This window comes from Homo sapiens, chromosome 5 (assembly GCF_000001405.40).
Source record: "Homo sapiens chromosome 5, GRCh38.p14 Primary Assembly".
Lineage (NCBI taxonomy): Eukaryota > Metazoa > Chordata > Mammalia > Primates > Hominidae > Homo > Homo sapiens.
In genome coordinates, this window is record NC_000005.10 from 83,935,160 (window position 1) to 83,950,528 (window position 15,369).

At 34.0% G+C, this 15,369-nt stretch overlaps 1 protein-coding gene across 2 annotated transcripts in view; it reads right to left on the reverse strand.

Annotated features, from left to right (window-relative positions):
- Positions 1 to 5,394: 5,394 nt before the first annotated feature.
- The window catches only part of EDIL3 (EGF like repeats and discoidin domains 3), a 444,327-nt gene continuing 434,352 nt past the window's right edge, over positions 5,395 to 15,369 (reverse strand). The window contains exon 11 of one of the 2 annotated variants that reach the window (NM_005711.5): positions 5,395 to 8,409. In NM_005711.5, coding sequence (NP_005702.3) covers positions 8,260 to 8,409 — 150 coding nt within the window. In that variant the 3' untranslated portion in view covers positions 5,395 to 8,259. The remainder of the gene's footprint in view (positions 8,410 to 15,369) is intronic. The other variant, NM_001278642.1, reaches the window with a different exon arrangement.

The following is a 15,369-nucleotide window of genomic DNA, read 5'->3' on the forward strand; positions in this document are numbered from 1 at the left end:
GGTTATATAGGGTTATCTGTAACCAATTAAGGTCCTAATTCTACTAAATTAAAAGTCACCAGAGAATGAAAAAGACAATGCCCTATCTATTTATTGTTAAGAAGCTGGTTCCTTAAATTGTGCTGTTACTATACTTTATTTTCTAAGATATTATTTGCTATTCAACCTCTCTTCTAGTTAAGAGTATAATTCTTTGTTTTGCTAAAACTTTTTAAATACATGATATTTATATACCCATTATTATTGGGTACATGTGATATTTTGATATACAAATAGAATGTGTAGCAATCAAGTCAGGGATTTAGGGTATCTACCACCTCAAACATTTATCATTTCTTTGTGTTGGGAACATTTCAAGTCCTCTCTTTTAGCTATTTTGAAATATACATTATTGTTGACTATCAGCACCCTATTGTGCTATCAAACATCAGACTGTATCTCTTCTATTTGGCTGTGTGTTTGTGCCCATTAACCAACCTGTCTTCATCCCTTCTTCCCACTTCACGCCATTCCCAGCCTCTAGTAACTATCATTATACTCTCTGCCTCCATGAGATTATGGTAACTCTTAAATATTGGAAACTGGAACTCAAGACAGAGTGTTCTTGAATTTTCTTTGTATTCTTTGGAGTTTTTTGTTAATGGAAATACTTGTGGTTTTTCTTATCTATAGAGCACTGCTTTCAGATTTTTCTTAAATAGAAATATGTTTGATTACTGTATTAAAGATTTCACGCTCTTCAAATGCAGATAGTCCATTTACTGTGCCTTGGAATAGCAGAAGCTTTGACATCTTGGGATTATTACTCACTTTTAAAAAAATTAATGCCATCATATAATCTCAAAGTGTTCATTAGCTGTTCAGTCACTTGTGGATTTTTTAAAATATATTTATGCGATGGTCAACACTTCATCCACAGACAAATTATTTAAAATACAAGTTATCAGGTAATACCAGTGTGTTAAATTATTTTTACTAATAGGACAATATGAGAAATTGTAGAATAAACAATTTGCAACTGCTTGGCTGGAGGCAGGTCCTTCTTGTTGTTCTCGTATTAGTATGTAATGAAATCCATTTTCAGTACACCTTGACTTAAAAGAAGAAAGAGTATTGAACAGGGGTGAAGGATGTCCTTAGATCTATGTGCAAATTATAGCCCTGCAACCTGGGCAGATCTCCTCATTTCTTTTGGCTTTTCTTTGTCCTCTTATAAAACGGACATGCAAATCCATAGTTATCATGAGTAGTAAAGTGGATGTTTTAGGTGTTATGAATATTAAATTTGATGGTTTTAGGCCTATTTTAGATGTCACCCTCGTAGGATGCCTTCCCTGATCTGCTTCATTGATTGGTATAGGTGCCTCTACTCTATCTTCTCTTTGCACATGGGGCATATTTTTGTCATAACATCCATCATAATCATTTGCTTTCTTGTCTACCCCCAGCTTCACCCTCTATACTGTGAGTTCCAAAAATCACTGTATTTTCATCTCTGTATTTCCAGGTCATCATACAGTGGCTGGTACAAAATAGATGCTTAGATTCTACTGAAAAAAAAATGATTAACAACAAAAGAAGTTGGACAATCTCAATATTTTCTTAAGACAAATACAGTAGTTTCTCCAAGTGTATTATTTATGAAAGAAATTAGCTTTTCTTTATATCTCCAGTGAAAATGAAAACATATTTTAAAATTTTGCAGTACTTATATTACAGCGTAATGCTACAGTCTGGAGGTACAAGTATCTGTTATATTAAGCTTGGGTGAGAAAACACTCAAGAAAGGAATTAGTGTTATGACCTTCTGAAGTATGGAATTAGAAGGTTAGAACGAGGGTGTGGAGGGCATTTGATTATGAATTTTTAAGCCAGAGGTCGCTTTAGAAAAATCTACCTAAAATGCATCATGGTTTATTAAAACAAACAAACAAACACCCAACATATGGATCTGCATTATGATTAACCCAAAGTGGCAGGTCCCTCGCAGGCAGCCTTGACTCATGCTGCAAGCCCACCTTCAGGCCATATTCAACACTTGGGTGAATCTTCTTTAGCTGAACAACGAAATGTGATGGGAAGACACTGGTATTTTGTTAGAATATTTTATGGGGAGAAGGGCAAAGGGCTTTACCTACCATATAGAAAAAATGCACACAGTTCTGTGTTATACACTTTTTGTTTTAAAAAGCCTCTCAGGCTTCTGTCAGCACACCTCTTCTCTCTTCCCACCAAGACTCTAGCAATCTTCTATTTACAGGAGCCATACAAATCTGGCTCTAAACTCACGCTGGCCACCCAACATACCAACACCTGGAAGCTAGCAGACACCACTGATTTAGAAAGCAGTTAAAGAGACTGCGTTGCCGTGGTTTTCAACTTTTACATCTGTCTCTGAGTTAGAAAAATAATTTACACTGTGATCAAGAACACATATATACTCAGGAATATAATTGAAATAAAATCTTTGTAAAATAATTTTTACAATGGACTTATATTTTTCTCTCCTCCTATTCTAACTCCTTCCTTCTCGTCTCTTCTCTTGTCCTGAAGTGTTTAATGTTTTTAAAAAGATACTACTAGTCTGGACCCAGCAGTTTCTCTATATTAGCAGTTTGAAAACAGTGTTTTACTATTGTTTACACGTGGTTTTCAGACTCTCAGTCCACATCTCAAGCATCTTATCAAGGTGTTTATACCACTACAAACAGGGATTTTGAGCGGGGAGTGGGTAGGGAGGATGCTTCTACTATTAAAAAGTAGCATTTAAAAAATATTATTACCTAAGAAACTTGACAACAGAGGAAATAAAGCTGCCTAATATTGATTATTTAGTGCTTCCTTTGAGATATGCTATTTTTAACCTCTTTGCCCAGTTCCTCTTTCCTGGGTCCAGGCAGAAAATGCCTTTAGCCTTGAAAAGCACTGTGCTTCTCATGTTCCCTAGGGCCACTGGCCTGCTAAGGTTTCTCTTCCTGAAAGGCAAAGCCTTTTTTATTATTAATGTTTCTTCAAATCCCAACTATACAATCACTAAAAAGTGGAAAAATGATAAAATATGTGTAAATCCATGTTTAATTTGTCACTTATTCATCACTGAAAACATTCCTTATCTATCTCTTTCTCATATGCACAGTTGTCTTCCTTCGAATTCTCAGGAATGTTTCTGCCTGATGCTTATGTAAGTTATCACAAGCTGTTTCCATATTGGCCATGGGGGATATACTGTTTGCTTGTTTGTTTGTTTTTAAATGGAGTCTTGCTCTGTCACCCAGGCTGGAGTGCAGTGGCGCGATCTCGGCTCATTGCAACCTCCACTTCCTGGATTCAAGGGATTCTGCTGCCTAGCATCCCCAGTAGCTGGGATTATGGACATGTGCCACGATGCCCGGCTTATTTTTGTATTTTAGTAGAGACTGGGTTTCACCATGTTGGCCAGGTTGATCTCAAACTCCTGACCTCAAATTATCTGCTCACGTCGGCCTCCCAAAGTGCTGGGATTACAGGCATGAGCCACCGTGCCTGGCCAGAGATATATTGTTTAGACGCATCATTGGTCTCACTGCCACCACTCCCTTTACAGGTGGCAGCAGGTTGAGGTTACATTGTAATTTATCATCGTTAACATATGTGTGGATATATGAAGGGCACTATGGGGATTTTACATAAATATGGAGCAGCGTGGTTCATGCCTTTAAGGACATTAAAATAAAATTCAATCGGAAGCAGTCACCATATGCAATGCTTAATCATGTAATACGGTGGCCATTTGCTGATGGTTCGACACCATATTTCCAAAGTATTAGTGCTTTCACATGACTCAATCAGCTTCTGCGAAGTTATGCAAAAATTGTTGAACATGGAGCCTTTTATGTTTTCCTATTTCTGCTACCAAATTCATTTAATAGAAATAACTCTTTGAGTAAGTGCACTTGCCTACTGTGGAAAACACTTTATTTGGTGGCAATGTTGAAACAGCCAATATGAATTATAGGCATTTATTGCAATAGAATCAAGAAACCTATTTCCCCCTTCAAAATCAATAGAAAAATTGCTACTTCCACTAGGTATTCTTTGTCTTTGTAAAGACAAATGACAGTGCATTCAATTTCAGGGTAGTTGAAACATTTCTCAACTGGCAAAGTTGTTTGGTCTTCTATTTTACCTGTGCAGATAAAAGGATCCTTTTGCATCTCAAAGGCTAGAGGCAATATTTTTCACAAATAAATAGCATACTAAAGTGATTGTTAATTTTTTAAAAATTAGCCTTTTGAAAAGAGATAGAGAGCACTGAATTTCTGACAGTAAACATTAATGTTTCTTTATCAAAATCTTAAAGTCATGTGTGCAAAGCTGATAGATGTTTTAAAATTCAGGTTATATAGAGATAATATTTTCCATTCATGAAGTTATTAGTAATACTTTATAAAAAACACAAATTTCAGCCTATGCAGACTTTTCTTCTTGGAATTTGAAATGCTTTTATTATTTTTGAATCTAGAATCAGTAGTCTTAAAAGTTTTATACTTGAAAATTTTCTGTTGGATAATTATTAAATATTTTGCTGTCACAATAAAATTGTACCCTGTATAGATGTTGTCATGATTCCTTATTAGCGCTACTGAAAATTTATATGTATAATTTCTCTTATTTAATAAAAGCACATTTATTGTTTGTTTATGAGTATGTGCAAAAATTAGGCAAACAACGGAATCCCATTGATCTGCTGATATTAAAATGCATTTAAATGGGAATGTGTATGAGTACATAAACGTGATTAGTCAGTTCTGGGAGCTATCAGAAACTCACTGAAGCTCAAATAAGTAGTAACCTTTCATATCTTAATTCCTCCCTAAATTGTTTGCATCCTAAGAAAATGTCAAAACAATAGCAAGTACACAGATTTAGTATTTCACCAGTGACTTCCAGAGAGCTAGAAACAGGATTTATGAAGAATCCACGTTATGATTTTCATTATTCAATAGCTAATGTTACATGGATAAATACATTATTACTGTTATATTATTGCTTACTACTGACTGGATTTCTTCATCATACTCCTGAGCATCATGAACTGAAAAAACTATAGAAATGATAGCAATATCATCTGATTAACAATGGGCAGATCAGTCCTGGTGCACAATGCTTTATACATGAGGCCAAAAATGACTTTGGATTAAGAATATTCTAGTAAAACTTCTGCATCTAAAAGGAGCAGGAAGAATGCATACATTTTAATAATCTTCAAAAGACCAGTTTAGCTAATATCAATATATATTTAGAGGTTGTTGTAATTTCTATTTTTTCTGTATCCGTTCAACTGTCCTGTGCAAGGCAAAAATGAACCAAGTATGTGGTCAAGAGTAGTGGGCATTCACATTCAGACAATTTGTGTATTCTTATAAATGTGTTTAATTACAACTGCTTCAAAAGAATCCCAGCTTTTCAAAAGTTTATTTTAAGTTTGGAGACTAGACAAGGTCATACTGGTTTTACATCCTACGTGATATAAGTATATATACAAAGAAAAAAACAACATTGGAATATTACACAGCTTGAAGGTTTGCAAAGGTTATTTGTGTCTTAGTTATTTCTGCACTTAATGACACATCAGACGCATTGAGTATATTTCATAAGTTGTTGACTAGCAAAGATACAATCATTAGTAACCCAAGTCTTCAAAATTCACACCAAACTTTATGAAGTCATTCAGAAAGAGAAAGTCAATCCTAAAATTAAAATTGGCAACTATGATAAATACCTTCAAAAGGATGTAGATATAATGGAGATGTTTAAAAGTTTAGTTTCATTAATTGTAAAATTAGCATGTTATATTTACTCAATATAGTGAAGACTAGGTGATTCTTACATGTATTCTACTTATGGTACTGTACTGGTTTTAGTGTGAATTTACATAGAATAAATTTACTTCACTTTCATGTCATCGACATGAATGACACAAAAGCTACTTCATAATACTACTTTACAATAGTTTTCAACATTTCCATATGGTGCGACCCCTTTGCTCTCATCAATTTTGGGTGTCATGAGAACAATAGGTATCCCGTTGGACATGATGTATTGCGAAGAGCATATAAAGCAGAGGGAAAATGAAAAAGCAAGAGAAACTCATTTCAATGCTTTTTCTAAAAGGTAACAAATATAATTTTAATCAACTTCCTTGGAAAATATTTTTAAAACAGGTATCAATAGAAAAAATTACAAAACATCATATGAAGCTATAAATAATTTTGAAAAACTATATCATCATAAAGCGTAAGTAATAATCTTAAAAATACACTCTTAAGAAGGTATGTAATTTGCAAAGGAAAATGGCTAGATATCTGATGGGACAGTAAACCTTGAAAGAAACTGGCTAAAGAGTAAGTGTGTGTATATTTCTGAACCTAAGTAATTATTTGTCACGACTTTAAAATTTAGCCAGTTACAAATATTTTAAAATCCTAACTTTAAAGTTATCTAAAAAAGGCAATATGGAGGAAATAGTAATTTTGTTTTTGAAAGATGTTGAAAACTGATCACCATTTCAGAGGCTTCAAATTCATAATTTCATAATAAGAACAAGAAGTAGAAAGCATATGGGCAAGGAACAAATATGTGGCCAGCCAGTCCCCTTAGACGAACTAATTTTGTTCTTATTAAAAATGCCAATACAATTGACTTTCTCTTTAAATTCTTCACTATGATTGAAGACCACTCCATATATACATCATTAAGAAATGCTGTTAACACATGGACAGACAAGACAGTAACAGTCTAGTGGCTTTTGTTATGCAGCACAAATATTAAAGGAAAAAAATAGCAGTGTTGCGTAGGATCTTAACATTTCATACACATACCATCCTTTCTTTTCCAATACACTTAATTTAAAACTCCAATAATTCTGTCTAAGCCTTATAAAATAAATACTTGTAAAGCTTATAAATTAGATGTTGAAGACTTTTATGGAGGCAGTGTGAGCTTTAATTTGAGAGACATGTCAATGAAACCTCCAGTATCAATAACAAATTGTTATGATAATTGCTTATTTTTTCAGGACCTTTGAAGCAAAATAAATAGAAATCAGTTTTCATCTTGAAAATGGTTTACTACTTTGTCATTAGTAAACACTTTGCTTCTCACAAATAACTCCACCTGTGCCTTCCTGGGAAACTACCACCAGTTTCAAATCTCAATAAGATGTTAGTTTCACAGGAAATGTGGAGCTGAACAAAGAAATGATGAGTATGCTTGGCCAAACTATGCAGCACTATATTAATATTTCTTTGCTAAATTTTTTATAAAATAAACAAATAAGCCGATTTTTTAAAGTAAATATAAGGATATGTAATTACCATCTAAATGAAGATTTAAATTTAAAGAGACATATATATTTTTTGTTCTTTTGTGCAAACTGAGAGTATGGGATTCTTTATGAAGCAATTATTTGGAAATTAAATAGTTATGGCTTCCTTCAAAAATAAAACTGCAGATTTAATTAACGAATATTAAATACAGATCAATCTACTGATAGGCAGTCATGTTCTACATATATGAGTAAACATGACACTTCTTTTAGTCAACTAATAGGAAATTCAATTAGAAAAAAATTGAATTATTCAGGTAATATACAATATTAAGAATGTAGAATAGAACTAAAAGAAAAAGAAGTCACATAATCTCTTATTAGAAATAATGAAAGTAAAATGAGAATTATAATATCAGTACTGCATGTTACATATTCTTCTTTAAAATTTTGTAATAAACATTGACAGTGTTTGGTAGGCACAGGGAAACAGGATAACGTAGAGTCATTACAGAAGAAAAAAACTTATTGCTAACATTGCAGTATTCCTTTTATCAGAATTAGGTGAGTATTGATTGTAAAAGCTCTATCAACTCTTGCTCTTATTTGATGACTTTGAGACTTTTTTACTCTTGCTATAAAAAGAAGGCTACTTTCTTTCCCTAATATATTTCTACCAATGCGAATAATTCAGGAAACAATGAGAGAAAAGTAATTCACACTTAATGTGTTGTTACTTAAGAGATTTGACGGATAAAATAAAATCAAATTAAATCATTGAAAAGGCAGGCTTAGACCCCCTTAAAAACACCGTTAGTTGCCTACCATAATTTGAGCACTTTTTCATGAAAAAAAAAAAAAAACCATTCAGTTTCCTACAGATTTTGCACAGTTCATTCCATGGAGATACTTTTAGGGAAATAGGGAAGAGGGTTGTGAAATGTAGCCTCCCCTCATTCCTCCTCTGTGCAGCCCAGCAGCTCTGACCGCAATGTGATCCTCCCGTACCAGGACCAAGGAAGGATTCTTATGTGTCGTGCATAGATGGGAGGGTCGATGACATTTTTTCTGTGAGTGTCATTGTCAAAATTTCCCTGGAAAACCTAATAAAGAAGAGCAGAAAAATGTCAGTCACACAGCCTTCTTTCTTTGAAATTATTTTTATGTTCCTGTTTGGAACATTTTCCCCAAACATGATATTTGATAACTATTCATTTTCTTTTCTTCAAAATATATTGCAGCTTCTTTTTAATAATAATTATTTTAAATTAAATGGTCAATTAATGTTTAAAGAGTTAAACCTTTATTGTTTAATGCAGACATTCATAGGTCTATCATTTTCCTCTACTTGTTTCTCTCAATTAAAAAAAATACAACAGGTATTCATTTTTTGCTTATGTCACAGGCTGACGTTAGTCATGTAGCTTGCTGAAGATGCTCTCTTCCACGGGGTGACTCAGAGATCCAAGCTGCTTGCAAAGTACAGCTATCATCTGGAGCAGGCGGCCTCCACATTCACAAGGGGCAAGGGGAGGGAGAGTTAGCAGACTGTGCAGAGTGTTTAAGAGAACAAGCATGGAAGCAGCTTATATCACTTCTGTATATATCTGTTTCACCTTACCTAATTATATGACTCCAGCCTAACAGCAAAGGAGGCTGGGCACTGGAGAGAAGCACAAGGCTATCTGGTGAGCACTAACGGCCTCTATCACAGTGCCTTTTGCCCACTTCTTCTCACATAGAGAATAAAACTAGCCCATCTCCAAATGAGACAACACAATCAATGCTGTTTTTGAACTGTTTTTCTCTTCTTTTTTGGCTTCATCTATTAATTCCTGGATCCATACAATACTATTGGGATGAATATGACTTATAATATCCTGACCCTTTGCATTGCACGTCTATTCTTCTTTCTTCTTTTGTAAAAATGCTTTTTTTTTTTTTTTTTTGGAGCTTTACTATTACTATGGCCACTTGCTCTTCCCCAAAAGACTTTCATAATAACTTGGACAAATGTCTGCTTCAGAAAACAAAACAAATTTAAAACACTGGGTCCCTGATAGGAATGGCATTAAATTATAAATTATGTTGGGGTAAACTGAGGTATTTATATTATTTAGTCTTTATCTGAAGATTTTATCCTTTTTTTCTTATAGATTCTGAACATTTCTTATTAAAGTGATTTCTAACTATTTTATATCTACATTTTTAAAAATTTAGATTTAGTTTAGATTTTTAGATTTAGTTTAAATTTTTAGAGTAAAAATCTCTTCAACGCTTTCTGTTTTTGCTTTATGAAGCATCTTATAATTAGAAGATAATTTTCTTTCTTGTTTGACATCAAATTTCTTTCTTGTTTGGCATCAAAACATAACTATGTGGCCAGAGACACCTGAAGATAAAATCCTTAAAGTAGAAAACAAAAAACAACCAAACTCCATCATCACATGACAGGATACTTAACCCACATCTTTCAGCATTCTGAAATTAAAGGGAATGTTTTAAAAGCCTTCTAGGCTAGATTGGTTCAGTCTTATACGGCCACAAATGTTCTCCTGGAAAGAAAAAAATCATATTCTCCTCAAAAGCATTAGGCAGTACGGCACTGATTAATAGGAGCAATAGACAAGACTGAAAAGTCTCTCTGCTGGTTCTGCTGGCATATCTAAATTCATATTCATTTAGCAGGCATTTTATGCTTAGTAATGCCCTGTCTTGCACAAAGGAATAATTCATTCTGGACTGAAATGTGCTACTACTATGTTACAATGTCTCTGTTAGCAAAACTCACAGGTACAGGACATATCATAAACACTCACCAAAAATCTTGAGAGACTGTTGCTACTGCAACAGCAGAAAATAAGCCCTGGTTTACTGACATCCTCTCTGACATATGATGTTGGATTCAAATATTTCACTGAGATTGTGGTATTACAATTTAATACGGAATCTAAAATCCAATTTTGTAGCCCTGCTAGTGAACTTAATGTATATCTCTGGGATAATAGAGTTTAAATTCATTAACTTTCATTGCAAGATTTATAACAGCCCGAAATATAGTTTTATACCACTTCTTGGGAAGGAAATACAGAAAGAAACAATTTTCTCTTAAGTGTCTGCTCTCCAGCACAGGTTTTGATGCGAACTATCAACCCAGAAAGTATTAGTTGAATTATTAATTATACTTATTTCTTTATAATGAAGAATACATACAGAGAAACTATATCAGCTCTGGAACTGAAAACAACTATGAAATTTCTGATTTAATATGTGAAAGTCATGGATATTTGCATGTTCACTTAAAAAAAGTGAAGTTTCACGAAACAGGATGATTAATAAAACAATAACGTTCACAGAAAAACAGCCGAAATCTATACTAGAATCACAGAATTTACAGCCTCAAAGTACTGAAAATATATTTTTATTTTCAGAGGCCTCTCAGTAATGACACGTACAGAACACAAAGCACCCACTTGCTAATTCCAGGATGATATTTTGTACTTGTTGTGTAAACATGTGGCACATGTGCTGTTTTCTTATCTCAAGCACTAGGAAGCCCCTGCTTAAGAATGCCACCTAAATATTTCACCTTGCAAAGGAATGCAAACACAGTATTTTTAGTTAACTTCATAAAATCTCTAAGATTTCTAGAAAGTGCTTTCACAGGCACATTTTAGAGACATAAGCATCTGAACTAAAACTGAAGTCTGAAAAGACTGATAGAGAACATTAAATCTCTATATAGGAGTGAAAATATTTTACATGAGAAAGACACAGTTCAATTTAGAATTTTTTAGAAAAACTATGCACAAGTTCCAGTTCAGGAAGGAGGCTAATTGGCTGATCACAAATTTGCTGATATATTCAAACATGATATTGCTTAGAGGTCTCTCAGGCTTTTTCTAACATATGGGGCCTTGATCAAAAAACACTCAAGGTACTTTGCAGAAGCTTCCATAATTACAACCTAAGAGAAGATAAGAGAAAGAAAAATACAACTCCCTCAATGTAGCTATCTTGATTTTCTTTTTCCTAAGGTTAACTCTCTTGTGATGCTGGTTGAAAATACAAATCAGATTCTTCAGAGGATTCAAATCTCAGCACGGAGAGAATATCAGATAAAATAAAACAATAAAATCTTGTTTCTAGCAGCATTAATACATTTTTTATAAGACGAGCTACCATTCTTTGTTAGGACTACGGTCTATTCAGGCCGGTATAGACATCAATAGGAGGCCTCCAGGGATCATGGAACAAAGTAACATTATCCTCCACGATGTAGTCAGAGAGGTGGGGCATATTTCAGTTTCTTTTAGCAGTCATCGAATAGGACTCTAAATATCAAAGAATCCCTTGGGGACTTCTTGCACATATGATTTCTTTAGAAAATTATCTAGTTTGTAAAAATGTGCTTCTTTTCATTTGTCCTAAACTTAACTGATTAAAAGTTTTAAAGAGATTACCATTGTTCTAACTTTTTGGAATTGCTGTTCACATCATTCAAATAGCGAGTGGTTCTAAGCATTTTTAGATAGATTCCCTATGGCTAAACATCAGCATTTTACATCAGTATTAAACACCAGTATTTTATTAAGATTTCAAGTGACCATCACTTCATCCCTCTGGGTTTTTGTTGCCCCCTTATAGATTTCATTATTTTTCTTCTGCTATTTGGAGACTATAGTCGAACCGCATCTGGGATTTCAGATATTGTGGAAATATAAAGGTTGAGTGAGACTTTCTAAAGTTTTTTCTATTGATTGTATTTGCTTTGTTTATGGTATCAAGCATACCACTGGCCTTACTGACTGTATCTGTACACTGACCTGCTGTTCTTAAGGGATAGAGGACAAAGGTAAAGATCCATTTTCCTAGGGCAGCATGTATGTGTCTGTGTCTGTGTCTGTGTGTGTGTGTGTGTGTGTGTGTGTGTGTGTGTGCAGAGGTGCTGGGCTGAAAGCTCAGAATTCTTTATTTAACATACATAATTTCAATCCTTTGAGCTTTCATCCAGAGCACTAATGGAGAAGTTAAATAAGAACAGTCTTTGGTAGCTCTGATCCTCAGAAACCCTGTTTTTATCTAATTCTACCCATATAATGAAAGAATCTGAGATCTGGAAGAGAACTCAGAGATCTGCTATCAATAACTTTTCCCTCTAATATTTCTAACATGGAACTTTCAGCCTATTCATGGCATGCCTCAATACAATAGGACAGGTATGTATTTAGACAGTTTGAAAGTCTATCTTTTTAGAAGACTAAAATGTGTATCTCTCACTTCAGTCTATTGAATCTAGTGCTTAATTCTCAATGAATATAGAACAAACTTAGCTCATCAAAAGAACTTTTGACATACTTAACAATAATTGACACAAACCTCTCAAAAACTCAACTTCAGCGCTCTAGGCTAAACATTCATAGTTCCTTAAAAAGTTCCTCATGTTGCATGATTTTCAGACTTATAATCTTGATTGCATTCCATTGACTAACATCTGTTTTAACTATGGCTCAGTGAAAGCGTGGTATTTATTGGGACACAGAATGTAGACATACTGTGAATAACTCAAAAGATAGAGTGCGCCTTTGTTGTAGATGCAATATTTCTATCAATGCAGTCTAAAATGTAGAATAATTATATTGCATTTTGGGTTATAGTTGATTGATTTATGGTCAAATAGATTTTGGATATTTTCATAATTTCTCCTCAGTGAGGGTTTTCCAATTTTTTTTACTTGTATCTGTTTTATAAAGCAACCATTTATATATTATATAAGTATATAATTCTGATTTTTGTGGCTGACATAAGGGACAGATGCTTATTAATTTATAGTTCAGGATCATAAAATTTATTTTTATATACTTAGTGTCAACATTACTTCAATTTTTTTGACTGTCAAAAATTTCAGAGTTACAACTTGAATCAACGCTTTAAGTGATGTAAAGTCTTATGAAAATTTTCACGGAATTAGTATGCATGAATCACGTCAAACATAACATTTTTCCATTTGAACAGTTTGGGAAAGAGCTTTCTTTGTTTCTAATTCTAGGGCTAGATTTTCAGTAATATTTTAGGATAATCTAAAATTTATGTTCTACTTTGCCCTATATGCAAGCATTCCAAAAATCAAATTTTTTTTATTAAAAAGGAAAAAAATATCAAAATATATAGAAAATTATTTTTAAACATTTTAGTTAGTGGTATACATCTATATCATATTAAACAAATCTTATTGGAAGCTTTGCATGTATGAAACTTCTATAAGTGATTGGCTATAAAAAGTCTGAAACCAAAGTTTAATTCTTTTAGCCAAAATAGACTGCAGCTATCATTCTGTGAATTCAATTTTCTAGGAAAATTTACCAGCATCCTGAAACCATTTCATGATTGAATGGCTAGTATATTATTCTTGATGTTTTTCTCTGCAATCAATTCCACTAAACCAATGAAACTCTGTAACAAAATTAGCCTCAATATGAGTACATTCTTCCGGATGTAATAAGGAAACAAGAAATTCATTTCCAGATAAATTTCAATATTCTAAGAAATGTTTCTTTGGAAAATAGTGATATTGAGAATTATATTCTAAGAGGGTCACCAAAAAAGTAGGGGTTTCTGTTGGAGCCAGTAGACTTTGTTAATAAGTGTCTATATTGATCATCAGTCTGCAGAATGAGCTGGGGGATCAGCCTTCACTACAGGGCAGCCCAACAACACTACAGCACAAATTGTCATTGACAGAAAGGAACAGAGAGCTACCACAGTGTCTTCCATCCCATAGCATCCTGAGTGGAACCATTACCCTCCAAAGCTGAAATAAGGTCATAACTAACCGAAACAATTTATCAGCAGGTGAAAGTCAAATGAAAAAAAATTCAACCAAAATGTATACATAAGACCTTAAAGTAGAGCCAAAGACAATGATAAAGTTACATGTCCCAGTTTGTGAAAATATAATGTGTGTAATCTACAGATAAGAGATCAAATGCGAAGAGGACTTGTTTTCATATCAACCACTAATTGTAACATATTAGACAATCACTTTATTTTTCTGTATCCAAAAGGAGTTGATCATCTTGTCTTCTTTGCAAGAAACATATCTAGACACATCTTAATCTTGAGTTTGCTTGTGTGTACTATCTTGAAGTAAATTGCTGACCATCATATCTTTTTTCTATTGAACAGTTCTTCTGCAGAGTTTAGGATGTGTCAAATCTAGTGTAAGCATAGCGTTTACAGACACATGTCATTCCAGTGATCAGTGTACAGTCTACAAAACCGTGTGTAATACGAGTGTGCAGTAGATGTTAACCTTACCCAAGGAGGAGTCTGTTTTTCACCCTCAGCAACTTGAAGGTAATCTCTAAGCCCTTGGAATGGCCTGTCTGAGAAGAGTATTTTTGTTTCCCAGGGGGCTCTGGGCCACACCAGATAGCCTATGCTAACATTGTGGTTTACAGTGGGGTCTTCAGGTCAGCTTGACCACTGAAAAGGAGGAAACTAAGGTTAGCCATACAGATGGTCAACCATGTCTAAATGTAGGAGCTTCCACAAAAACTCTGAATACCAACGCTAAGGTGAGCTTCCTAGTTGGCAATACTCTGGGCTTACTGTCACGTAACATTGCTGAGAGAACTTACTACTCTCCAGAAGTCTCCAAGACAACTGAAAGCTCATTCCTGGACTCTCCTGGACTCTGCCCCATATGTCTCTTCCCTTAGATGATCTGTATCCATATCCTTTCATCGTGATAAACGATAACTGTATGATAATTTTAGTTGTGTTTGTGAGTTTTTCTATTGAATTATCAAACCTGAGAATGATCTTGGGGAACTGTGAATGTGCAATTGATGTCAAAAGTGAGGGTGGGTTTAGGGAATCCTGAATTTGTGATGAGTAATTGGTATTGAAGGGCTACAGGTTTCATCTAAGTTTTGTTGTCTGAAACATTGACAGTTGGAAAAGGAACCTCAATTGTCTGAAAGGGTTGTATCTACAACTTCCCCAACATCATGCGCCAGCGTGTGACAGACATTCAGGCTTTAAAGTTGATTGTGAACTTA